This window comes from Homo sapiens, chromosome 11, assembly GCF_000001405.40.
Source record: "Homo sapiens chromosome 11, GRCh38.p14 Primary Assembly".
In the NCBI taxonomy this organism is placed as follows: domain Eukaryota; kingdom Metazoa; phylum Chordata; class Mammalia; order Primates; family Hominidae; genus Homo; species Homo sapiens.
Window position 1 is genome coordinate 68,069,775 of NC_000011.10, and position 26,599 is coordinate 68,096,373.

At 42.2% G+C, this 26,599-nt stretch overlaps 1 protein-coding gene across 16 annotated transcripts in view, besides 2 other annotated features; it reads right to left on the reverse strand.

The window, feature by feature from the left end:
* Positions 1-26,599, reverse strand: part of CHKA (choline kinase alpha) — a 68,530-nt gene that overhangs the window by 16,916 nt on the left and 25,015 nt on the right. For 4 of the 16 annotated variants that reach the window (NR_164782.1, NM_001376221.1, NM_001277.3 and 1 more), the window contains exons 3-6: positions 11,630-11,683; positions 4,943-5,056; positions 950-1,083; positions 415-519 (exon numbers count right to left, since the gene is read on the reverse strand). Coding sequence is in view for 14 of the 16 variants with exons in the window: in NM_001376221.1 (NP_001363150.1) it covers positions 415-519; positions 950-1,083; positions 4,943-5,056; positions 11,630-11,683 (407 nt within the window). In the remaining 2 variants the exon portion in view is untranslated. Of the gene's footprint in view, positions 1-414; positions 520-949; positions 1,084-4,942; positions 5,057-11,629; positions 11,684-11,952; positions 18,336-20,046; positions 20,107-26,599 lie in introns of those variants that run through there. The other 12 variants (NM_001376222.1, NM_212469.2, XM_047426315.1 and 9 more) reach the window with 8 other exon arrangements.
* Positions 13,331-13,508: a silencer, noted in NCBI's record as "fragment chr11:67850572-67850749 (GRCh37/hg19 assembly coordinates)". NCBI's record gives its function as "represses an EF-1alpha promoter that drives an FKBP-Casp9 reporter gene in an ReSE screen in K562 erythroleukemia cells {active_cell/tissue: K562}" and the evidence as "EXISTENCE:reporter gene assay evidence [ECO:0000049][PMID:32094911]".
* Positions 24,359-24,488: a silencer, noted in NCBI's record as "fragment chr11:67861600-67861729 (GRCh37/hg19 assembly coordinates)". NCBI's record gives its function as "represses an EF-1alpha promoter that drives an FKBP-Casp9 reporter gene in an ReSE screen in phorbol 12-myristate 13-acetate-treated (for megakaryocytic differentiation) K562 erythroleukemia cells {active_cell/tissue: K562(+PMA)}" and the evidence as "EXISTENCE:reporter gene assay evidence [ECO:0000049][PMID:32094911]".

Below are 26,599 nucleotides of genomic sequence, written 5' to 3' on the forward strand. Positions count from 1 at the left end.
CTTCAGAGATCAGTATGAAGACTCTGTTTCTCGCAAAAGCCAAGGTTGAACTGTAAGGAAGAAGGATCTTCCTCACACTCCCCAGCCTGCCCTTACTCCCTTCTCCCCACCAGAGAAAATCCACCCCACCAGACACTCTACTGCCCTGGCCACCAAGCCACTCCTTTGACATTTTCCTTCTCAATGGAACCTTCACAAACTGACCAGAGGCCACGTGTGGGCTTCTAGTCCATAGAGTCCATAATCTCTAGTCCTCTAGAGAACCATAATTCCAGATGACAAAACTTATGGTTTAAATTCATCCTGTAAAACCAATGTAAAATGCCAGACATAAGGCAAGCTCAATCAATGTTTACTGACAACAGTTTTAGTGACTAAGAATATTTAAAGTCAGGAAATAGAAGGAAAACTCACCTCAGGTTTTCCAGTTCCAAGGGCAGATTGTAACTGAGCAATTTGTGGAGCTTTTTAATTCTGGATTCCTCAGTAAATTTAATTCTCAGCACTTCCTTTAGATACCTATTAAAAAATTTTCAAAAAAGAACAGAACAAAGAATCACCGATCAATTCACCAAGGCTTGCTGTTCTTGGGGCTTTGGTTAAACATTCAATCCCAGCGCAGTCACAATGCCAGTGGGACCCCTCTGACTGCCATGACTGAGGGGAAGAGGAGTGGCCTTGGGGGTTCGTGGCATTCTAGGAAGGTGACTTTCTTCTGTCCCTTCACCCGTTCAATAGCATTTTTGCATAAGCCTTCTTTCCTGGTTTAGGAATTGACTTTTACACACAAGAAAGACTTACTTATGAGACAAGTATCACCAGCTGACACCCTGCACTTCAGTGAACTAGGAAGACCTCTGACTACTGTGGCAAACAAATGCTCACTTATGGTACTTCTGGGAGCCACCACTGTAAAACTATGTTAGGACCAAGTGATTTGACCACTTACTTTTCCATTGTGCCAAAAAGCCATTTTGGTTCCTTATTGAATGGCATTTTCATACCATGAAATGTAGCCATTTTCTCGGCGATTTCTGCAGAAATATCTGGCAAACTTAATTCTTCAGTATCTAATCGCCGGCTCTGAAAAAGAAAAGGGAGTTAAAAACTGACATTTACCAAGTAAACTAAAAAGAGTGAGATCACACAGTCTTAGGAACGAGAAGTGTTTTTGTAGTGCATTTAAGTCTCACCCAATGCCCCAAATTCCCTTAAGAATGGACACTGTGTCCCTACAGACAGTGACCCAGCAATTGCTATGGCATTTCTACAGTGAGGAGCCGGCCACCTCCAAAGATCTATTTCATTTTGAACCCTTTTTAACTATGAGAACTCCTTCCTTAAATTTTATTGAACTACTACACTATCATCTATTATTCTGGCCTCTAAAACCACACTGAATGTCTATTCACTACCCAATGCTGAAGTCCATGTCTTCAGCAGTTTATCACATGGCCCCACTTCCAGCTCCTCCATCAGCTGGGACATTCTACTCTGATGTGTTGCAGGTGAGATGTGGGGTCCAGAATAGGTCCTAACCAGGAGATGCGTCACAGAGACAGGGGGGCCGTCTCCAGCTGCTCCCAGTGGTGGTGTCAGCACCTGGCCTGGCACAGAGCAGGTGTCCAGGGCAAAGTTGGGCAAAGAAACAGTGTCTAGAGGACTTCCTCCTGGCCTCTGCATCCTGCACTTCCCCTAAATCAGCCCGAGGCCATGCTTGTTTGGCTGCCCTTTTACAGGAGGCCCATGGGAGCTCACAATCAACTGAGACCTCCAGAGCTTCCTCATGCAACCTGCCACCCTGCAGAAATCTAAAGAGAGGTTTCTGTGAAAATGCAAAGAAGTACAGCACAGGGGTAAGAGTGAATGCTCCCAACTCAGGGAAACCTCAGTTGAAATTGTGGCTTTAATTCTCATTTCAAAGCTACATGGCCATCCAAGTTACCTCATACATCTGTGTGTTCCCATTTCTATCAAATGGGAATCAGGACATGAATTCTCTCACAGAGTTGCCAGGAGAGCTGGAGGAGAGAATGCAGATGAGGTCTCTGGGACAGCACCTAGCCCAGGGTGCAGCTCAGCAAGTGGCAGATGTCTGCTACTGAGAGCTAAGAGCTCACTGTAAGCATTGGACTCAACCTTCTATTCAACTCCCTCCAGAAAGCACTGTCACCACAGCACTGTCAACAAATTACCATGCTGCAATAAGAACAGGGCCTCCACTTCCAGCAGCAGGACACACAGGACTTATTAAGGTAGCTCACTCAGCTTTCAAAACTGCCATTAATTTGGCAACAAGGAAAATCTGAAGCTAACATGCTCAGATATGAACAAATCTCAGTATTCCAAATTCCTTCCCCAGTAGAGAAAGAGAAACAGACTACCTACTATCCCTAGTGGCCCGGCTATTCTCACATGCCCTTTGAAAGATGGCTACAGGAATCATGAAACTAAATCACCTGATCCCAAGCAGTGAAGAGTAAACCTAAGCCAGGCGTGGTGGCTCATGCCTGTAATCCCAGCACTTTGGGAGGCCAAGGCGGGAGGACTGCTTGAGCCCAGGAGTTTGAGACCAGCCTGGGCAACACAGGGAGACCCCGTCTCTACAAAAAAATAAACAAAATTAGTCAAACATGGTGGCACGTGCCTGTAGTCCCAGCTACTCGGGAGGCTGAGGTGAGAGGATCACTTGAGCCTGGGAGGTTGAAGCTGCAGTGAGCTGAGATCAGGCCACTTATACTTCACTATACTGGGCAATAGAGTGAGACCCTATCTTAAAAAAAAAAAAAAAAAAAAGCAAATCTAGAAATAACATACGGTATTAGGTTGAATCAAATGAAACTGCCATTCTTGTTGGTCAAAAACAGTCAAACACCGGCGGCGTCATATGGTTCAAACCTAGTATATAACAGAATTTTAAAAAAATCTTCACTATGGCTGGGTGCAGTGGTTCACACCTGTAATCCTGGTGACTTAGGAGGCTGAGACAGGAGAAGAGCTTGAAGCCAGGAGAGTTCAAGACCAGCCAGGGTAACACAGCAAGACCCATCTCTACAAAAAAAAATTTTTAATAAGCTGGGTGTGCTGGTGTGCACCTGTACTCCCAGCTACCTGAAAGGCTAAGGCAGAAAGATCACTTGAGTCCAGGAGTTCGAGGCTGCAGTGAGCTATGATCATGCTATTGCACTCCAGCCTGGGCAAGAGAGTGAGACTCCCATCTCAAAAAATTTAATATATAATAAACAATACATACAAGAGCATAGATAGAACTTAAGAACTAGAACAAAATCAGTTCCACAGATACTATAATCTATGTGTCCTGATGCCTGCCCTTTTTGTCCCCAAGATATTTTTATTATTCTGAATTGTGTTAACACAATTCCCTTACCTTTTCCAAAAAGAGAACTTTTACTACATGTGCACATATTCTTAAACAATTTTTAAAATTTATCAGGCTTTATAGAATGGTATGATACTACTTACAGTCTCCTGCAGTTTGATCATTCAACATTATGTTTGTAAGATTCACCTATATTGCCACTTATAACCATATGAGGTTCTATTATTTACAAAATTCTTTCAAAAACTTATCATCTCGGCCGGGCGCGGTGGTTCACACCTGTAATCCCAGCACTTTGGGAGGCCAAGGCGGGTGGATCACCTGAGGTCGGGAGTTCGAGACCAGCCTAGCCAACATGGAGAAACCCTGTCTCTACTAAAACATAGCCAGGTGCCAGGGAGCAAACTAAAGGAAAAAGCCAGCGCAGTGAAGGCACCATCCACTCATCTAAACACATCCTCAGCACTGGCAGCTAGCACAACACTAGCACAGACGGACAGTGCCACTGTCAACTAGAAGAGGATACCTCTTCTGGGGAGACAGAGCACAACTAGCCTCTCTGTTTCTGGGCTGTGGGATTAGACAAAGAAACCCCTGCCCCTGGTCCCCAGCCAGACGCAGCAGAGCACCCCTCTGCCAGGCATCCTAGTGCTGGGCTCCATCTGCACAGATGTACAGGGCAGCCCTGGACATGCCCAGGCCTCTCATGGATAAGATATCTCATGCAGCAGGGCAGGAAAAGCTAGCAGCTTATGATTCTAGTCCTCAAGGAACTTACGCTCAATGAAAATGGGGAATATCTGATCTATCTAGGAAGAGAGTGCAGGCTGACAAAGACGAGCATTGCCAATCAAAGAAGTATTGCCAGGGCTCAGAGCCACACTTCAACACTTAGGGTTCATGAGAACCTCTGGGCATGAAGCATTGTGCAGGGCATGGAGTCAGGGGTGGGTGGGTAGAGGAACAGGACCTATGCTTTAGATATGTACATGTAACTCTAAGACATGGTATACTGGTAAATGTTACAGCAACATTAAAACTGCCTTGGGACAATAAGAAAGGGAAAATAATCCTGACTGCTTAGAAATAAGACTGCAAGGTCTTGGAGCAAGGCCTTGAAATCTAAGAATTTGACCAGCATATGGGGACAGGAAGATGGGAGGTAGGGAGACTCAGTAGGAATGCACAAAACAAACCAAGGAAGGGTGATGGGAAAGAACAGGCATGGCCCCCACAGGGCTACAGTCAGAGACTGAGCAGGGCCAAGGTGTTCTAGCAGCAAGTTCTATAAAGCAGGGCCCTAGAAGTTGAGAGGAACACGGTGAAAAGGGCAAAGTCTCAGGGTACACAGCCTCAGGGGACAATAAAATGGTAAGTTTCATATATATTTCAAATTTGGATGAATACACCTTTACAGAAAAGAAAGAGGTTCGGATGTAAGTACAAAATAAATGTTGCTTTTCATGATTTCTGATACAGTTTAATGACATAGGTGAGGTTAACAGTGAAAACACAGCATTGCAGGTTCTTGCAGCAATGAGACAAAGAAGCCATCTTCTGTCTGTGGCATATGTCAACTAAGCGTTTATGAACAAATCTTACCGGGATGAACTGCTCCAGTCGGCCTTGGGGAAAGATGCCATAGAGTTTTGGCCCAAGTGACCTCTCTGCGAGAATGGCAAACATAACGCTCTCCAGAACCATGGCCTCAGCCCCCTAAAACAGATGGCAACAAATCAGGTGTTTACTGAGTGTTTGCTAAGCGCCAGGCATCAGAAGCACTCTCACAGGAGTGTTTCATCTGATCCTCATGAGTATTCTTTCACGTGGGCACTACTGTTATCATCATCCCCATTTTAAATATGAAGAAACAGAGGTTCCAAAGTCACACATCGTGTCATTTGCAGGATTCATGCTTGCAAGCACTATGCTATATTGATAAGATTTAAAATATGAGTTTAATTTAGGTCACTAGATCCAAAAATAGAAAAATATCCATCAGTGCTTTTATTGCTTCTATTTATTTCGCAACCTATATAGGAGTCTCACCCTTGGTATCTCACCAAAGGCCACAACACCATCCATTCTGGTAAGGGTTGATTTGCTTTTGGTTGAGTGTGTCTAGTTAAAGCAAAGGATCCAAAGGACCTTCTGCCTACTAAATTGGGCTCATGGGTCCAACAAGCTTGAAAATTACTGATTTAGGTCCAGGGTCTACGGCTTTCTAGTCCAAAGAGCACCCTAGCATGGAGCATCCTAGATTGCTATTTTCAGTTGGCACACCCGACCTTTTCCTGTTATTGAATGTTTGTTGTCTTGCTGAAATCTCTATGATGCTGTCTGTTCTATCTTCGTCCTAATAATTAACGTGGGATCTATCATCATTTTGCCTTCAAAATCCATGCTTTGATCTCAAAGCAAATTCAGTCCTTGGTCTTTCCCCCTTAAACAGCACATTACAGCATAATGGTTTCCATCTGTTGGAGTGAAGGAGTCACGCTTACCCAGAGGTCCACCTGAATCTCTTAAAGAGCTTTTACAGGCCAGGCGGTGGCTCATGCCTGTAATCCCAACACTTTGGGAGGCTGAGGTGGGAGGATCACTTGAGGCCAGGAGTTAGAGACCAGCCTGGGCAACATAGTGAGATGCCCCACCACCACCGAAGTCTCTTTTTAAAAAAAAGAGCTTTTGCAAAGAGATTCCTAGGTCTTACTCCAAGTATTAAAAGAGAGGCACCAGCAGGGCTGTTTTGAAAAAGCTTTCAGATGATTCTAATTCACCCCCTGTGAAGCAATGTGCTGTGGAGGAACATGATCCCAGAGAAACCTCTAAAACACATTCACGTTACCAAAAACTGAGAAACCAAGAGGACAAACTTATTAGGAAATGATACAGTACTATAGTAAGAAGAAAACAAAAAAGAAAAGCTACTTCCAAAGGATATCAGACCACATTAAAGCAAAAAGTATTTTGGTCACTTTTACATTTTGTGGGGGTAAATGGATTTGCCGGTAATCCCCCCACAATTATCGTCTACAACCATCATTCGTATAATCCTCACAATTATGGCCTGTGATCTTGTGAGGCTCAATCTTTCCTAATTTGTGGTTTTGTGTATATGACAATAAACTGATAACATCTATCTATCAAGCTAATGAATTTTAGGGTGGGATTTGATATCAGACAGGTTTTATTTCTTAAAACCTTAGAGAATGAAAACAAAGATCTAGTATCTCTATTTAGTTGTCAAAAGGTTTCCAAGAACTTTTTAGTCCTATGGTAGTGTTGTCCAGAGATGCAGTCCCCATCTTACTCCAAGCCCAACATCACAGAAAGTATCCGGGGCATTTAAGCAAGGGTCTGCAAAGCCTCCTCCAAGTCTCTGCTTAGACATTATGCTCCCCTGCTCCCCAGGGGGCAGCACGGTCCTGGTGCTCTGAAGACTGTGGTCCCCACCACCACCCTCATGCTGTGTAAAACACAAAAGTAAACAGGGGCTGGGCATGGCAGGACAAGGGGGTGCTGGACTCGGAAGTTCAGCATTTTGCACATCATGTCCACTGGGAAGGATTCTCGGAGGTGACTTTATTTACGTGTGGCATCGTCAACACATGTCACCAGCACTAGCCAGAATCCTCTCCAGAGCTGAGTCAACCCAGAAAGGACATAGAGAAGAGGGAAAGAGATGTAAGAACTTTCCAATTCTCTTTAGCACTGCCCTAAACATTGTAAACAAAAACACACTTATTCTTACGTAATACTGTAGTTCAATATTTATTCACAGTAGGAAGAAAGGGGGAGATGGTGTATGGAGAGAAGGATTTGGAGAGGAAGAAAATGAGGCCGGGTGCGGTGGCTCACGCCTGTAATCCCAGCATTTCGGGAGGCTGAGGAGGGCAGATCACCTGAGGTCAGGAGTTTGAGACCAGCGTGGCCAACAGGGTGAAACCCTGTCTCTACCAAAAAAGTATAAAAACTATCTGGGCATGGTGGCGGGCACCTGTAATCCCAGCTACTCAGGAGGCTGAGGCAGGAGAATCGCCTGAACATGGGAGGCAGAGGTTGCAGTGAGCCGAGATCACACCACTGCACTCCAGCCTGGGTGACAGAGCAAGACTCTGTCTCAAAAGAAAAGAAAATGAAAGAGAACACCCAGGCACAAGCAAGAAAAATGACAGGTTAAGGACAGCAGAGAATCCTAGAATAAGTGTACCAACTACTGGTGGTCTTCTTGTCATCACTATGTCTCCAGGCACCTTCCTGATTGCTCCTGAAAGTGAGCATGGTAAAAAGGGGGCTGGACAGACATGGCTGGGTTCTCTCCTGTACCACGCACTGGTTTAGCCACAGCTGGTGACAGTGGAGGGAAAATTGGTCCTACTTTTTCAGATATCTCAACTTGGAACAATTTACTTGGGCTTCAGAAATAAAGACTCATTAATACATTTGCCTAAAACACACTTACTCAATGTCTACTATGTCCTGGCACTGTGCTAAGCGCCAGGGAACCAACAAAGAACAAGATACATAAGGCCCCTGCCCACAACGGGGCTTACATGACAGAGAAGGAGGGATGGGGAGAGAGAGAGAAATGGACAGTAAGCAAGTACACGCAGCTATGGACTGGGCTCACTGCCATGAGGGAAACAAGGGTGACTGGTGTGGTGGTGTGGGTATTTCTAAGGAGGCCACACTGAACTGACCTGAGATCTGAGGTGTGAAAAGCCACAGCAGCCCCATGGGAGCACAGGGCCATGAGGAAGGAACAAGTGTGACGCCTTCAAGGAACTGAGAGGCCTGTCTCACTGGAACAGGACAATCAAGGAAAAGGAAGAGCAGAGCATGAGATTGCCGGGTGGACTGGGGCTTACAGATACCAATTCACAAGTCCTCAACATGTTGTTGATGTTTACAGCTCACAAACTGGGTTCGATCCCCTGGGGACAGAAGAGGAGGAACCAGCACAGGCCTTAAAATGCCCTTTCTTATGTGACTGTCACCACAGTAAGAAAGCTTTCTACAGGGCACCCTCGCATACACCCCCAAAACAAACACTATCCCCACAGCAATACTCACTCTCACAACTGGGCAACACTTATTAATATTTTCTACTCTATTTCATTTTAAAAAGCAATCAACATGCTAACATTTCATGCCCCACTAGAGGTTCACAAGCCACAACTTGAAAAACTGGTTTAAGTTCAGGCAGCAAAAAGAGGGGCCAGGGCAGAAGGCAAGGTGAGGCAGGCGCCACTGCCAGGAAGGAGAGTGGTATTCCCTAATGGTGCTGCTAAGTGGCCATTAGATTTGGCAATATGGAACCTGTTGGTGACAAAAAAAAGAACAGCTTCAGAGTGATGGGTGGACAGATGTCAGATTGGAGCATGTGAAGAGTGAACAGAAACGGGAGAGAGAAGTGGTTGAGAATGGAACAAGGGGTTTAAACTGACTTTTCACTTTATCTATGAAGTTTCATTTATTTAAAACCCAGGAAGAAGAGTATTGATGTTATGAACTTCTTGAGAAGACATAACAGCATTTCTGTGGTATTTCAGCCAAAAATGCATAACCTCAATTGTGAGAAAACACTAGACAAGCTGAAATTGAGGAGACATTTCCAAAATAACGGATCAGTACTCTTCACAAGTATAAAGATTACAAATAACAAAAGAATTGTTACAGGCTGAAAAAGACTAAAGAGAAATAGCCAATGCAATCTTGAGATCTAGCTAAATCTCGAGACAGAACAAAAGAAAATATGCATAGGAAAACTTCTGAAATTCAATTCAGGTCATAGTTCAGTTATTATTTTTTTTTTGGAGATATTATTATTATTATTTTTTTTTTGGAGATGGATAGCCCAGGCTGGAGTGCAGTGGCAAGATCTCGGCTCACTGAAGCCTCCGCCTCCTGGGTTCATGCGATTCTCCTGCCTCAGCCTCCCGAGTAGCTAGGACTATAGGCATTCACTACCAAGCCCAGCTTATTTTTGTATTTTTAGTAAAAACAGGGTTTCACCCTGTTGGCCAAGCTGGTCTCAAACTTGTGACCCCAAGTGATCAGCTCACCTCAGCCTCCCAAAGTGCTGGGATTACAGACGTTTAGTTATCACTATTGCATCAACGTTAATGTCCTGGTTTTGACCATTGCACTGTGGTTATGTGAGATGTTCGCATTAGGGAAGCTGGGTGAGGGGTGCATGGGAAATCTCTGTACTATTTTTTTTTTCTTTTGAGTCGGAGTTTCGCACTGTCGCCCAGGCTGGAGTGCACTGGCACGATCTCGGCTCACTGCAAGCTCTGCCTCCTAGGTTCACGCCATTCTCCTGCCTCAGCCTCCCAAGTAGCTAGGACTACAGGCGCCCGCCACCACGCCTGGCTAATTTTTTTTGTATTTTTAGTAGAGACGGGGTTTCACCATGTTAGCCAGGATGGTCTCGATCTCCTGACCTCGTGATCCACCCACCTTGGCCTCCCAAAGTGCTAGGATTACGGCGTGAGCCACCATGCCCGGCCTCTCTGTACTATTCTTGAAATTTTTTCTGTAAGTCTAAAATTGGTATGAAATAAAAGGTTAAAAATAAATTCATATAAAATTCACATAAAAAAGACTGAAATCGGCCGGGCGATTTCATGGCGAGTTTGAGGGGCATGTGAGACATCCGAGGAGAGACTGCTAGCCAATGGCATTAGTTCCAAGTCGAGGTCAGGGCTGGAGGAAGAATGTAGCGGCCCTTTGGCCTATAGATCAGGTGACCGAGGGAGACAGGACAACATGAGAAGAGGGCCTATGGTCAAATCATGGGGCGCCCTAGCATGTAGACAGCCAGATCTGTACTTTGTGTCTCTGTGTCATGGCTGCCCTCAGGAGAGGAAACATTTCAAAAGGGTGGGGGTCATGTCAAATGCTACTGAGAAGTCAAAATAAAATGAGAACTGAAAAGTACTTTGGATTTAGCATCACGCAGGTCCTGGTGATCCACCATTTTCAGCTAACAGGATGTCCAAAGGCCTCTGCACAAAGGGCTTGGAATGGTTCACAACAGATTGTCAATCACTTCCCACCCAAGGACTTCCCAGTCACTGTCACTCCAGAGAGCACAAGTTCTAGATCCTCTAGCAGGGCACCCAGAGCAAGACACATGTAAAACAAGCCGCTGAAAAGTGTGGAAAAAATATCATCACTTTCATTCCTTTTTTATCTCAACCGTTTTAATGTCTATTTCTTGATTTTTTTCTTTTTTTTTTGCATTTGGTGGGGACGACTCCTGTCGCCCAGGCTGGAGTGCAGTGGCACAATCTCGGTCTACTGCAACCTCCGCCTCCCAGGTTCAAGTAATTCTCCTGCCTCAGCCTCCCAAGTAGCTGGAATTACAGGTGCCCACCACTATGCCTGGCTAATTTTTCTATTTTCAGTAGAGACGGGGTTTCACCTTGTTGGCCAGGCTGGTCTCAAACTCCTGACCTCATGATCCACCTGCCTCAGCCTCCCAAAATGCTGGGATTACAGGTGTGAGCCACCGCATTCAGCCTATTTCTTGACCATTTTAATAATCAATATACAATTGGTAAAAGTGATGTGGCGATGTGTGTATCTACATCTTAGACCCACGTATGTTGGGCATGTGTGCACATGCACCCTTCTCTGTGAGCCTGCACATAATGGCAGAGATGCTCAAAAGGTGCTTACGCTGGGGCATGCAGACCAACACCCCAGACCCCTGCCTCTGAGGCTCCATCGGTCAGTGCTCTTGGCCTCAAGCCATCTGCACATGTGTGTTTCAGAGAGTGGGGTCACATTCTCTAAGTCTAGGAAGAAGCTTTTCCAACTTGGGTATCATCCATAGGAAAAAACATTGCTGTTAGCCCATGGAAAATGGGTGGCCACCAAAACCACTGGGCAGTGACCCGCTTCCTGATGGGAAGTGTGGGAACGACCAGAAAGGGGGTGAGAGAGGCATCACAGCAGCGGCAGCCAGGGCCTCCTCATCAGGTACCACACACGAATGCTCCCCTGGCTGCCATCTGCCAACATCCGAATGCTGTTTCGATTGCCATAAAGACACCAAACTTCCACAGTCTACACTCTCAGGAGGAATGAGGAATACCCACCGCTCACTCAGTCTCCGTAAGGTGGCTTCTGATAGATATACCAAGAGCCCCTCCTCGTAGAAAGATAGATCAGGATTTTCCAAGGGTAGATAAGAGGCACTGCCAAGCCCTGGAGTAGCGAAGGGTGGCTAACACTAGTTCACATCTCACACAGATGCAGAAAGACTGAATTACTTACTTGAAATTCATTTTCTTTCTGAGCTTGTTCGGATCCCTCTTTATTACAGGACCTCTATGAATGAGAAAAAGGAAACACTTCTGGTGAGATGGGGAACACTAAACAGACACTAACTTTGCAACCACCAGAACAGTCAGGGTTTACAAAACATCACAGGTCTTTAAGGAAGGTTTCTCAGCCCACCGATGTGACGGGCAGCATCTAATGCACCAGCAGCCTCCAGCACTAGTACCAACACCTTAGAAAGTGCTTCATTGCTTTACGAGAAAAGGGATGTGCCGGTGAGACCCGATAGCTGCACGTCTCACAGCCGCCCCATGTACCTTTCACAATTTCATTGTTAGAGGAAAGTCAATAGAGTGCACTCTTCCAATCAGGCCTTCTAAAGACAAGCGGTCAGGCTGAGTCTCTCACCAATTTAGCTACGTGGTTCTCTCAAGTCAACCTGCAAGAACAGGGAGTGTAAACATGCCTGTGGACAGCTGTGGTCAGCACAGAACTTGGACAGAGAAGAAAGCGCTGTGCAGGCAGGAAACCTGGCACAAAATCTGTGCAGACATGCCCTGCCGACTCGCCACTTTCCCAGAGTAACCCCTCTAGTTCAGCCGGTCACCAGCTCAAGCTGAACTGTTCCTCTACCATAAAGAGGACTGTGTGTATTTAATAAAGTCTCTAAAATTATTTCATATATTAATATATTAAGAAATACTTATATCACTTTCCTCAATGAAATTGCAAATTTATGATAACCAGGATTCTAGCAATAACAACACACTAGATCATTAACTACCATAAACAACCCTTGGGCTACATTCTTTCTCATGGTACAGATCATATATTTTAAGAGCAACCCCCCACCCCAAATGCTTTAAAATCCTTCGTACTATCTTTAATAAGGGAATGGGGAAAAGTAAAGTCAGAAACTTGTGTCACGTCAAACTTTTATACTCAAATACTGCCTCTAAAAATGTTACTTGTTAAATTAAACTAAGTCTGCTTAAGCCAGACACAAAAGGAATCCCAGAAAGGAAACCTCTTTAAAAAAATTTAAGGTAACAGATTCTTGAACACCCCATGAAAAACATACCTTTCCATTCCACAGCTTTATCAAAAATACCTGTACCAAGGGTGGAAAGTGTGGACAGGAAAAAAAATGCCACGTTAAGCAACACCAGCTACTCTAGCACCAATCAAAAACCTAGTGATTTAAAGCAACCACTCATCCATCACACACTGAAATAACATTACAGACGTTTTAATGCATGTTTTGTATAAACAGTACATGTAATATAAAAGTAAACAAAATAAGTATCCATGTTCATAAATCTATTTGCAAAAGGCTCTTAACGTTTGCACTGATACATATTCAATACTATATTTAGCATACAGTTAAGTACATTTGGTACAAAGTACAGAAAGTACAAATGGGGATTTATGATATTTTCATTTGTGTAATCTGCAGTTCTCTGATGAAAAGATGTTACAGGTTAAATCCCGTTACAATGAAAGCTATAAAAATCAAAATACTACAAAAATGCTTTCAGATCTTTGCAGATGGTTTGATGTGCGATGTGGTAGGCGCTGGAAAGCTTCCCTTCACCCTAATTCCAAACACTCTCGTGGCCGCATCGTTCCTTAGACTCTGCTTTGCGGGTCGCCTCTTCCAAGCAGTCTGTAAATTCCTAATGAATAGGGACTGCGTCTTTTATTGATGTTAGTCTTCTCCCAGAGCACCAAGCAAATCTCGATGCCCACTACACTTTTTAGGCTGCATGAATAAATGAACACTCCGGAGTGGTATAGCACGAGGCAAGTGAGCCCAACGAGCTGCCTGGTGCCACGCAGCCAACCAGTGATAGCAAATTCCCATCCAGGGTCTTGGTAACAAGGAAGCTGGCTGTGGGGTTAATTAGAAATGCCCCTTCAAAAGTCCTTGTGTTTTTTTCTCCAAAGAAACTTAAGAACAAAAAAGTTCTATAATCTGATATATTACATATTAATACTTTGCAGTATAAGCTTTAAGACAAATAAGTTAGATACTCTTCTGAAATTGTTGTAACGGGATTTGACCTGTACACAATTCTAAATGACTATGGTTATTCCTATGCTGTTGTTACTCTAACTGTATCTTCTTAGGGAGATACAGTTAATGGGTTATTTAGCCTTCAGAAGTCCCTTTCCCTTATCTAATGGCGCTCGCAAAAGCAAGTTACTTCATCCAAAGTTAAAAATTGGCTGAGGCCCCAAAGTCTTTCCTTTTTTTAAACATATTGGCACTATAAGTGGTAGTAAATCCATGATAATCTCCCCTGCCCACTCCCTCACTCCACCCCCAGATGAATTCATCACTTATACCATAAGAGCACCATTATGAAGGCAAGATGGACTTCTGCAATATCCAGCCCTCTGTTCTGTTTCCTCAGTACAGAATGTTCAGGCTCCCTAAGTCCTGTAAATAAGAAGTGTAAGACGAGGAAATCTCAAACCAAGTGTATATTCATGGAAAGGTAAGAGAATAACTTTTTCGTCCAGGAAGACAGGAAGTTAAATATATTTTGGGGCCGGCGGGGGTGGCCCATGCCTGTAATCCCAGCACTTTGGGAGGCTGAGGCAGGTGGATCATCTCAGGTCAGGAGCTTGAGATCAGCCTGGCCAACATGGTGAAACTCCAACTCTACTAAAAATACAAAAAAATTAGCCGGGCATAGTGGCGCATGCCTGTAATCCCAGCTACTCAGGAGGCTGAGGCAGGAGAATCGCTTGAATCCGGGAAGAAGAGGTTGTAGTGAGCCAAGATCACGCCACTGCACTCCAGCCTGGGTGACAAGAGCAAAACTCTGACTCAAAAAAAAAAAAAAATACATATATACGTATATATACACATATATATACGTATATGTGTATATACATGTGTATATATATACACATATACGTATATATATGTGTATATATATATACACATATATACGTATATGTGTATATATATACACACATATACGTATATATGTGTATATATATATACACATATATATACGTATATATATGTGTGTATATATATATAGGAATCCGTGGGATTTTACTTCAGTGACATAAATTCATTTGAAGTAGATATTAAAATACATTGTATAAATATTTAGTATGACATCCAACTTTTCTCTAACAAGTTAATAAAAATTATCCTCTATAAGTTATAAAACAAAACTAAGCTTTTTACATTTATTAGAAATTTGAACACTGGTTATTTAATATTAAGTAATTATTAAATTTTTTTAATGTGAACATTACTGTGGTCATTTTTAAAAAATCATCTTATATAGATACAGACTGAAATATTTACAGAATAATATAACATCTGGAATTTGCTTCAAAATAACCCTGGTGGAGTAAATGAGGGAAAAGATGGAAGAAGACTGGCTGTGAGGGGAAGATGAGGAATGGACACTGGGGTTCATTATACTCTTCTACTTTAGGGTATATCTGAAATTCCCCATAATAAAAACTTTTAAAAAATAAACATTGAAATTTCAAGACCTAAGAAATCAGAATGTCTCAATTATGCCTAAGACACCCAACTCCATAAATACACTGAAAACCACTGAATTCTACACTTAAAAGGCACACAATAATGAAAAATATATTGCCACTGGCTTCCTCCCACCTTCTTTCTTTCCTTCCTATTTTGGGCTTAGTTTTCAAGAGAATCTTAAGTTAGAGTCATATATTCATTAGCCTGTGATGTAGGAAACAAATGAGGCTACAGTGACAGCATTAATAAAGGAGGCATACTTACTATTTTAAAGTTAGCTTTTAAGAGGTGAAACTTTAAAAAAAAAATTTGGAGACTGGGTCTCGCTCTGTCTCTCAGGTTGGAGTGCAGTGGCAGGAATAGGGCTCACTGCAGCCTCAACCTCCCCAGGTCGAGCAATCCTCCTGTATTAGCCTCCCAAGTAGCAGGACCACAGGCATGTGCCACCATACCTAGCCTTTTTTTTTTTCTTGTAGAGACAAGATCTCACTATGTTACCCAGGCTGCTCTTGAATTCCTGAGCTCAAGTGATCCTCCTGCCACAGTCTCCCAAAGGGCTGAGATTACAGGCATGAGCCACCATGACCAGCCTGAAAAAGATTTTTTGATTGGCCAAGAACTTTTAAATTTAAAAACTAAATTCCTGAAAGTCTGAATTATATTAGCTATGGAGTAAAATGAGAAAATAGAGGACTTTCATTTTTACTTTATTTCTATACTTTAAAAAGTGCTTAAAAGCGTGTATTATTTTTATAATAAATACATTTGATACAAGGTTTCAAATGTTACTTTTCTAACAAAATTGCAATTTAAGGCTTTGGGGTTTTTTTGTTTGTTTTGTTTTTTGTTTTTGAGACAGCGTCTCACTCTGTCACCCAGGCTAGAGTGCAGTGGTGCAATCTCAGCTCACTGCAACCTCCACCTCCTGGGTTCAAGCGATTCTCCCACCTCAGCCTCCGGAATAGTTGGGATTACAGGTGTGTGCCACCACGCCCGGCTATTTAGGCTTTGTATTTTAAATGAGACTATGAAAAGCAGTAAATATTCATATTACAGAGCACAGGTTTTCAAAATGTTCTACTTCATGCTTTAAAAATAAAATGGGCCAGGCACGGTGGCTCACGCCTGTAATCCCAACACTTTGGGAGGCCGAGGCAGGCGGATCACGAGGTCAAGAGATCGACACCATCCTTGCCAACATGGTGAAACCCCTTCTCTACTAAAAATACAAAAATTAGCTGGGTGTGGTGATGTGCGCCTGTAAGTCTCAGCTACTCGGGAAGCTGAGGCAGGAGAATCACTTGAACCCAGGAGGCCGAGGTTGCAGTGAGCCAAGATCGCGCCACTGCACCCCAGCCTGGCGACAGCGAGACTCTGTCTCATAAAATAAAAATACAATAAAAAAAATCAATAAGTGGTAAGACAACTCCAGGACCAAGGAGGAAGAGATGTCCCTTTATTGTATTTTGTGTTATATGATTTTAGGATTCAAAAACCTACTTTAAGTTACCTAATGTTCCACAATATAGCAGGTATATTTCTTTTAACCTATTTAAGCCATCAGACAGAATAAACTTATTTGGCCAGTACTTAATGAAAGACTTCTCTAATACTGAGGGAAGTAGGTTTATGACTAAATGAATAAAGCCCCATTTGGGAGATGAAAACAAAGCAGCACCTCAGTTTTCCCTAGAGTCTGTGTATAGTAAGAATGGGTGAAAGCGGCATAAAGAAAGTGTCATTAAGTCACATATAGTTATCATTTAAATGTCATTTGGCTGGGCGTGGTGGCTCACGCCTGTAATCCCAACACTTTGGGAGGCCAAGATGGGCGGATCACGAGGTCAGGGGATTGAGACCATCCTGGCTGACACAGTGAAACACCGTCTCTACTAAAAATACAAAAAATTGCCTGGCGCGGTGGCGGGCGCCTGTTGTCCCAGCTACTCGGGAGGCTGAGGCAGGAGAATGGCGTGAACCCGGGAGGCGGAGCTTGCAGTGAGCAGAGATCGTGCCACTTCACTCCAGCCTGGGCGACAGAGCGAGACTCCGTCTCAAAAAAAAAAAATGTCATTTAAAACATCTTTAACACCCAAAACATTTATCTTCAAAGTATCTTTAAACGTCCAATACTACATGAGCTGCTGTGAGACAGATTTTAAAAAGTGATGAATCAGCTACAAAGAATAGCATGTCATCAATAGCAAAATAAATTGGAAATGCTATTTAAGAAACGAAATCATTATCAATTATGGATAATATAATATGAGCCAGGCATGGTGGCTCACATTGGTAACCTTAGCACTTTGGGAGGTTGAGGGGGGCGGATCATTTGAGGTCAGGAGTTCAAAACCATCCTGGCCAACATGGTGAAACCCAATCTCTACTAAAAATACAAAAAAATTAGCCGGGTCTGGTGGCAAGTGCCTGTAATCTCAGCTACTTGGAAGGCTGAGGCGGGAGAATCGCTTGAACCTGGGAGGCAGAGATTGTAGTGAGCCAAGATCACACCACTGCACTCCAGCCTGGGCAATAGAGTGAGACTTCATCTCACACACACACACAAAAAAATCATAATATAGAATAGAAATAGGTACTATGTTAAATATAATGGTGGCTGCTGAACTAAAATGATATATAAATAAGAGTACAGGTTTTTTATAGAAAAAAAATTGTGCCATCCATTTTTTAATAGAAAAAAAGAAAAATACACACAAAAAAAGAAAATTAAGAAACATGGATGACATTCTCTTCTTCCTACCACCCCTTCCTCACCAAAAAATAACTAAATGGATCATTCAGCTTACTGTCTCTTTTAAAGGCTTTACATAAAACGGTAGATTGATTGTGACCTTTTAAAAATGCTTTGAGACCTATAAATAAATAAGTAAGAATAATCCTGTCTGGGTGCAGTGGCTCACGCCTGTAATCCCAGCACGTTGGGAGGCCGAGGTGGGTGGATCACCTGAGGTTGGGAATTTGAGACCAGCCTGACCAACATGGTGAAACCCTGTCTCTACTTAAAATACAAAAATTAGTCAGGTATAGTGGCACATGCCTGTAATCCCAGCTACTCAGGGGACTGAGGCATAAGAATCGCTTGAACCTGAGAGGCAGAGGTTGCCGCGAGCTAAGATCACGCCATTGCACTCTAGCTTGGGCGACAGTGGGAGGCTGTCTCAAAAAAAAAAAAAAAAAAAAAAAAAAAATTCCTACTGTTAGCTAGACTCAGTTTCCTCAGTTTCTAGGATATGTAAATTTTGGTCTCGGAAAATAATCCATCTTTCTACTAATCTGGTATTATCTTCCTGAGCTGAGTACTGAAACAACTCCCAGGTCATCGTATTCACCCTGAGAATAGGAGGATATGGTGCATCATTCGGATTCAATTCAGTAGCTGTGATGCCCATTTGGTCTTGGAGTGGCATGAACTTCTTTACTGTGTAGCCTGTGGCTTCGGAGACCCTTAATACCCACCCTGGTTATCTCACCACACTCAACCCTCTAGGAGAGAAATAATTTTTAATACAGGGGTGGCATCTGTTATAATCCCTGGCCTGCCAAGTCCCTGTTGATGATGAAGCTATGTTCCATCTCAGGAGAGGTGGGGCAGGAAAAAGCATGAGAACCATGACTCTATAGAATGTGTTCAATTCTATAGAATTGAAAGAGTTATGTGACTCTTTCAATTAACATTTTGCAGTATATTTTCTTGGCAATATGTTTTCTTCTCAGAGTTATCATGGACCCTAACCTTACTTCTTCCTGATTTCTATGAAAAAAAATGAAATCATCCCGTATTTCTTGCTTTTATGGTTTCTTACAGCATTCTTTCTCGAACTCCTGACCTCAGTGATCCAACTCGCCTCAGCCTCCCAAAGTGCTGGGATTACAGGTGTGAGCCACTATGCCCGGCCACTTTTAGCACTTTCTGAAAACATTTTACAGAACACATTAAAATGTGAGATCTCAATGCAATGATTTAAAGTATAGCTTATGTGATTATTTAATAAGCACATATGAATTACAAGAATTTAAACAGATAAGTGATTTCTAACATTTTATGGTAGTCTCTAGAGTGTCTTCAATTATCCCAAGGACCAGCCTAAAACACCTTGATCTTTTTGGACATTAATAATTTCAAAATTGGATGACTTGATGAATATCCGTAGGAAACTAGAACTTCTAAAACACTTTAGGCAACACAAGCCAGCAGAAAGACAGGTGAGTGGAAGCCCAGGTTTTAAAAAGGCCTATTTCAGGACCTTCTCAAAATCTATGTCTGATCTAGGGCAACCTGCTGACCCAACACTCCTCAGACTTCCAAGACTAAATAAAATACCCTCCCTCTAAGTATCCCAAAGGTTGACTTGCAAGCAACACTTTTACGGGAAGTGTGCCTTCACTACATCAAGTCAGCACTGCAGAGCTCCCTAAGGTCTCAGGTACCCAGCTAAGACATATGAAAGTATACTGACTGGTAAGGACAAAGAAGAAGGTTTGTTTCTAATTCTGACCAAAATATCAAAATATATATGGTGTCTCCTTAATGCTGGAAGTGATATGAAGGAAGAACTTGATTACTTCAATTAAGTTATCAAGTTGAGGCCCATAAATTTCTAAAATTCCTAAATGTTTGTCATTTTCTACTGAGGAAACAGAAGAAAGGAATCTGATTTGCTTTGGACAAAAAAAATAAGTGATATATTTATTACACAACATTCTGAAATCTTAATCACTGTACCTCTTTAAGCACAGCACAAACTGTAGCTGGTGCTACTTAACAAGCATTACAACTTTCTTTTTTAAAAGCAATTCTTGAATCCAAGAACTAAAAGAAAGAAATTAAAGCTGTAGAGAATGCTCCAACTTCAGAGGTCTCATACTATACCGTGAATCGTGTCTGTCACCTGGAAACCAGAGTGCTCCAGGCACGATCGCATGGACAAGCCTGCAGCAGAGAACACATGCACATACAGCTAAAGTGGTACATTACCCCCAACGCCCTTCACTCCACCCAACATAAAGACATTCCTTCCCAAAGAGGGGTGGGCTGCGGTCAAACCATCGTTCCATGGACCAGAAATCCGCATTGGCTTCATGCTATAAATCCCAAACATTTAATACCAGCAAGACAAAGACACTCTGAATATGTAAAAATTAGACATAGTAGTCTGTGGTTTATTTGGTTATCAAAAGAAGGCACCAAAGCAGGTATGGAAGGACTATTGGTAGTAATTTGGCAACTATCTTGGGAGAGTATCAGCTAAAGAAATATTAGGTTAGACCAAATGGGAACGCACAACACTAGAAAAATGTTTTACTTCTGAGAAGGAAGTTTTGACTGCCTTAGGAACACAGAATTAAACCATACTCAAAAGTATAAGGGAATTTTTTTAAAGCAGAGTGAACAGAACAACTTAAATTCCTAATGATCCTAACACAATGAGGAAAACAGTGGCAATTCATAGAATTCAGTTACCAGGGACATGACTCCTTCAAGGAGTACCAGCAATGCTGGTCTTTGCATGGTGTGACCTTAGTAACATAAAGAAATAGGTTTTAGCAGCTGATTTCTCAGTAGCTGGTAGTTTAATATTAACTATTTATGAGTTATTCCATATTTTATTGTGGCTTAATTTTTAATTAAACTGGGGCTAAGAGAAAATAGGGAGGAAGACATTTGTTTTCTAGATTTAAAAAGGACAGTGTCTCAAATTTGACTCTTTTAAGTTGCTAATACATATCTGCGTTGTGCCTTGATGCCTTTATTATGGTTAGTACTCAAACAAGCACTAATATTAGCCTTCTATTACTCAAAAAACAAACAAAAACAATTTTCCAGACAACATTCAAGAGAGATCTTTGATGTGTATTATAAACGTTCATGCCTGTGAGACCGCTCATAACGGTGAGGCCAAATCTCTCCACTCATGCACAGAAGGAAGTGGCTTAACACAGAGTCACTGTTCTGACAGAGGAAGGGACAAAGCAATCCTCTGAGACTTCCGCCAACTGGCACAGGTTACATTGAATGAACAATACGTACTGACATTTGTGTCTTCCACAATTCATGATAAATAAGCAAACTGGTTATTTGTAATCAGCCAAACTTGCTTCTCTGAAAAGGCTGCTACTGGACGTTGCAGAGCTCATGTTCCTTCCCAGTATCAGAAAGGAAAAAAATCAAGTTACATTTATAGCTAATTTTATACATTTACGCTCTCTTCTAGCAATTCTATCTCTTTCCACAATGCAAAGGCTGAACTATTACTTCTCAAAACTTCTATTAAATTATCCTCCTTTAGTTCAGGGTAGTTTTACAGTTGAGTTTGGTTTTCATAATCTATGTAGCTAATGAAAATAATCTCATTTCCATTAAAATTAAAGACAGTCTATGTAAAACAGACGCTAAATTATACTCACATGCATTAAGATCAGACCAATATTTTTATGTTTAATAATTTCCTACAAATAATATTGTATAGTTGTGTGTGTCTTATCTTGTTCATATTTTCAAAAGGACCCATTCTTGACCTTGCCAAACACAGGAATTTTCATAAGCACCCTAAAACTAACACAAATACTAAACAAAAACTCCAGGATACAGTCAGGAAGTTTGTTTCCGTCTCATCTTAGATAGAAATAGGGGCTAGAAGAGACAGATGTTTGTGGGACAGAAGCTGTGGAGCTGAACCCAATCAGAAAGTTTTACCTTGGCTTTCTGGCACTTAACCCTTAGAGAACTGTACCAAAGAGCAGTCATTTCAGTGTCACTATGGAAATAAAGGAAATCAGACATCTTATAATGCCAAGATGAAGAAAAATGAGAAAGTTGAGAATCATCTAGTTATTTTAAACCAAGTCACCTGTAAATCATTTGCTGATCAAAGAACGTGTAAAATGTTACCACCTCTGATTCTCACAGAGGTAAAATGTTCAAAAGCTAAAAACAAGGAAGAGAAATGGAAAGAAGGGACATACTAAACTAAATCTGTCATATAATTAAGGAAAAATGCAAAATACTCTGAAAAAATACATAGACCTATTATTTGTGCAGTAGACTTCAATTAACATTTTTCAAAGAAGGAGTGAATTCTAACCCATCTTAAAGGACATTATAGCTGCATTTATAAAGTTGGCTTGGGAGATACCAGTTATATTGTATAAGTACACATACATGTATAGGATATGTGTATGCTTTCCCATAAGGTAGAGCAAAAAGAAGGAAAGCAGAAGACTTGAGTCATACTATATTTAATTCTCTCTTTAACCATGATGTGATTTATTATTGGGGGCTCTGTATTTGCTCAGCCACATCTCTCAATTAATGCAAATCTTGACAATTTTTTATCAATCCTGACAATTTATCATAAATTCTGGCTTTTTTTGTTGTGATAGGAACAAAACCCTCATTGTAGACCATAAATATCTCCTTCCATTATAGGCCAGATTCATTCTAAAGAGCTGGCTATACATTAGCAATTTCATCACAGCTAGATCACAGCAAAAATAAATAATAGAAACTTTAAAGCTGATTTGAAAATATTTGGAAAGGAATTTAAAATCCTCGGCACAGTGTGTGGCAGCTCAGCTTCTAAAGCACACAGCAGCTGTTGCCTGGCTCGCATCTTAGAAGCTTCTAAGCCTGTTCTCTACTTTGCTTCTTTTGTACCATAGCCATCTTTTGGAGTTCTTGATTTTGGTTCCCCTCCTCATGTTGTCACAGTACTCCCAATGACCAACAGTCTCCAATGGCCATTAATATCTGAAACTCTTAACTGGCAACAAGTATGACTGCTAAACTCTGCAGAGCTAGGAAACCAAATATACTTAACTCTGAGACTCTAGGCTTCATGGTTTCCTAAGTTTAAACTACAACCAAAAAAGTGTGTTTGAACTAAGGACTCGACCAACTGAATAATTATATTGAAAATATAGATTCCCACCTAAGAAGCAAAGAAATAGTTTTTTTCTAACAAAAATCAGTTTGTTGTCTATGTCAACTGTCAGATTGTTAGAGGTATGCTTATTATCCGTATAGAAAACTACTAATTTCCCATCCAGTTTTTTTTGGGTTTTTTTTTTTTTTTTTTGAGACGGGGTCTCTCTCTGTCCCCCAGGCTGCAGTGCAGTGGCATGATCTTGGCTCACTGCAATCTCCACCTCCTGGGCTTAAGAGATCTTCTCACCTCAGCCTCCAAAGTTGCTGGGACCACAGGCACATGCCACCACGCCCAGCTATTTTTTTATAGAGATAGGGTTTGGCCATGTTGCCCAGGCTGGTTTCAAACTCCTGGACTCAAGCAATCCACCTGCCTTGGCCTCCCAAAGTGTTGGAATTACAGGAGTGAGCCACCATGACCAGCCCTAATTTCCCTTTCTATCCAAGGTGCTTTCAAGTATGGTTTCTACCTTACATCAGTAGATATAGCTTCAGGAATGGAAACTCATTTAACATTTGCCTAATAAAAATATAACTGAGAAGCTAAATGTAGGGTACCTCCTCCCCCCAAATTGGAATTATATGTAAAACATACTCCATTCTATTAGTTTGGTAAGAGCTAATTACATTTTAAGTGGCTTAAATTATTCTTTTTATTTTTCTTAGTTACTTAATAGTCTTTTTTCTTAGAAATAAATCGGGACATAGAATTCTGTTCAAACAAATTTTATTTCCAGACATTTCTACTGTATTTAACTACTGTCAGGTACTACTTCCAGACTGCTAAAATTTCAAAATGGAAGAAAGACTAACAATTGACAATGAATCTTTATTAGAGGAAGGCTAATTGCCAAGTAGTAGGCTATGCTGCAGCTGGCTTTTACTAAGTGACTCATATAATAAACCAGAACATTCTAGAGTTGGGCTGTCCAATACAGTGGCCACGAGCTACATGTGACTATTTTAATTTAAATTAATTAAAATTAAAAACAATTTAAAACTCAGTTCAACAGCCACACTTGCCACATTCCACATATTCGTTAGTGACATGTGGCTGATGACGAGTGTATCAGACAGCACAGATGCAGAACCCTCCATTACTCCCATCACTATAGCACTGTTCTAGAGCACAGGATTAAACTCCCAGGTTAGTCTAGCCCACAGAGGAGCACCTTGTAACACATTTAAAATGCTTCTTAAGTTAGAAATGAAAGCCTCATAAATCAGATTTAAACAATAGTTTTAAATCACATGTAATTTCAGCATCTACTTATTATTGTAAAAGTGTTGTATAAATGCAAAACACAAAAAACAGCAGAAATGGGACTTAATCGTTGCAGAACGTAAACAGTCCTCAAAGAAAAAATGACTATCAAGACATAGCAGGCCAAGTGCAGTGGTTCATGCCTGTAATCCTAGCATTTTGAGAGGACTAGACGGGTGCATCACTTAAGGCCAGGAGTTTGAGACCATCCTGGGAAACATGGTGAAACCCTGCCTCTACAAAAAATACAAAATTAGCTGGGCGTGGTGGCTCACTCCTGTAGTCCCAGCTACTCAGGAGGCTGAGGTGGGAGGATCACCTGAGCCCAGGAGGTCGAGGCTGCAGTGAGCCATGGTTGTGCCACTACACTACAGCCTGGGTGGCAAAGTGAGATCCTGTCTCAAAAAATAAAGGCACACCAGTAAAAGTGCCAAAATAATGATGAAAGATTTCAAAAACTATACTTTGAAACTGCAACCTGATTAAATTTAAAACCCAAGCTGCATGGTGAACACAAGAATCTTTTCTGCTTGTGTATTAACAGCAAGGGGTCTGTGTTTTCAGCTGGCATCAACTGTTGTCCTAGCTGGATGCCAGCTATCTGCACCTAATGACAAAGTGACCTCAGATATCCTCAGCAAGTGCACACGTGTGTGGAATAGCTACGTACCTTCAAACATACTAACTTGTTCCCAGCATTTTTAGATCTTAACCATTTCCACAGCTTGACAGAGTCAAGGAAAAGCTATCCAATTAAAGGGTTTCTTCACATTATGACAATTTTTTTAATGAATTAACATCTAGACTGCCAATTTGAACTTTAATATTTCTAAACATATAATCAAATATCATATGGATATGATCTACTTTTTAGATTGAGCTGAAATAGGCCGGTCTTTTAAAAAATTTAGTTTGAAAACTACTCTGCTCTATTTCATTAAGATAAAAATGGGCCCTTCCAAAGAAGATTAAAATGGATATCAGGGCCAGGCGCGGTGGCTCATGCCTGTAATCCCAGTACTTTGTGAGGCCAAGGCGGGCAGGTCACAAGGTCAGGAGATCGAAACCATCCTGGCTAACATGGTGAAACCTCATCTCTACTAAAAATACAAAAATTAGCCAGGCGTGGTGGCGGACACCTGTAGTCCCAGCTACTTGAAAGGCTGAGGCAGGAGAATGGCGTGAACCCAGGAGGCGCAGCTTGCAGTGAGCTGAGATTGCACCACTGCACTCCAGCCTGGGCAACAGAGCAAGACTCCATCTCAAAAAAAAAAAAAAAAAAAAAAAAAAAGCCAGGCACGGTGGCTCACACCTATAATCCCAGCACTTTGGAGGCCAAGGTGGACGGATCACGAGGTCAGGAGATCGAGACCATCCTGGCTAACACGGTGAAACCCCGTCTCTACTAAAAATACAAAAAGTGAGCCAGGCGTGGTGGCAGGCACCTGTAGTCCCAGCTACTCAGGAGGCTGAGGCAGGAGAATGGCGTGAACCCGGGAGGCAGAGTTTGCAGTAAGCCGAGATTGCACCACTGCACACCAGCCTGGGTGACAGAGCAAGACTCCGTCGCAAAAAAAAAAAAAAAAAAAAAAAAAACAACAGGTATCAAAATCCTACCACAGGCCAGGCGTGGTGGCTCACACCTGTAATCCCAGCACCGCGAGAGGGTGAGGCGGGCAGATCACCTGAGGTCACAAGTTTGAGACCAGCCTGGCCAACATGGTGAAACCCTGTCTCTACTAAAAATACAAAAATTAGGCGGGTGTAGTGGCACACCCATAATCCCAGCTACTCGGAAAGCTGAGGCAGGAGAATGGCTTGAACCCGGGAGGCAGAGGCTGCAGTGAGCCGAGATCGTGCCACTGCATTCCAGCCTGAGCTACACAGCCAGACTCCATCTCAGGAAAAAAAAAAAAAATTCTACCACAGAAATACCTCAACCTGGCCGGGTGCGGTGGCTCATGCCTGTAATCCCAGCACTTTGGGGGACCACGGCGGGTGGATCACTTGAGGTCAGGAGTTTGAGACCAGCCTGACCAACATGGTGAAACCCCGTCTCTACTAAAAAAGTACAAAATTAGCCAGGCGTGGTGGCATGCATAACGTCAGCTACTTGGGAGGCTTAGGCAGGAGAATCACTTGAACCCGGGAGGCAGAGGTTGCAGTGAGCTGAGATCACGCCATTGCACTCCAGCCTGGGCAACAAGAGTGAAACTCCATCTCAAAAATATATAT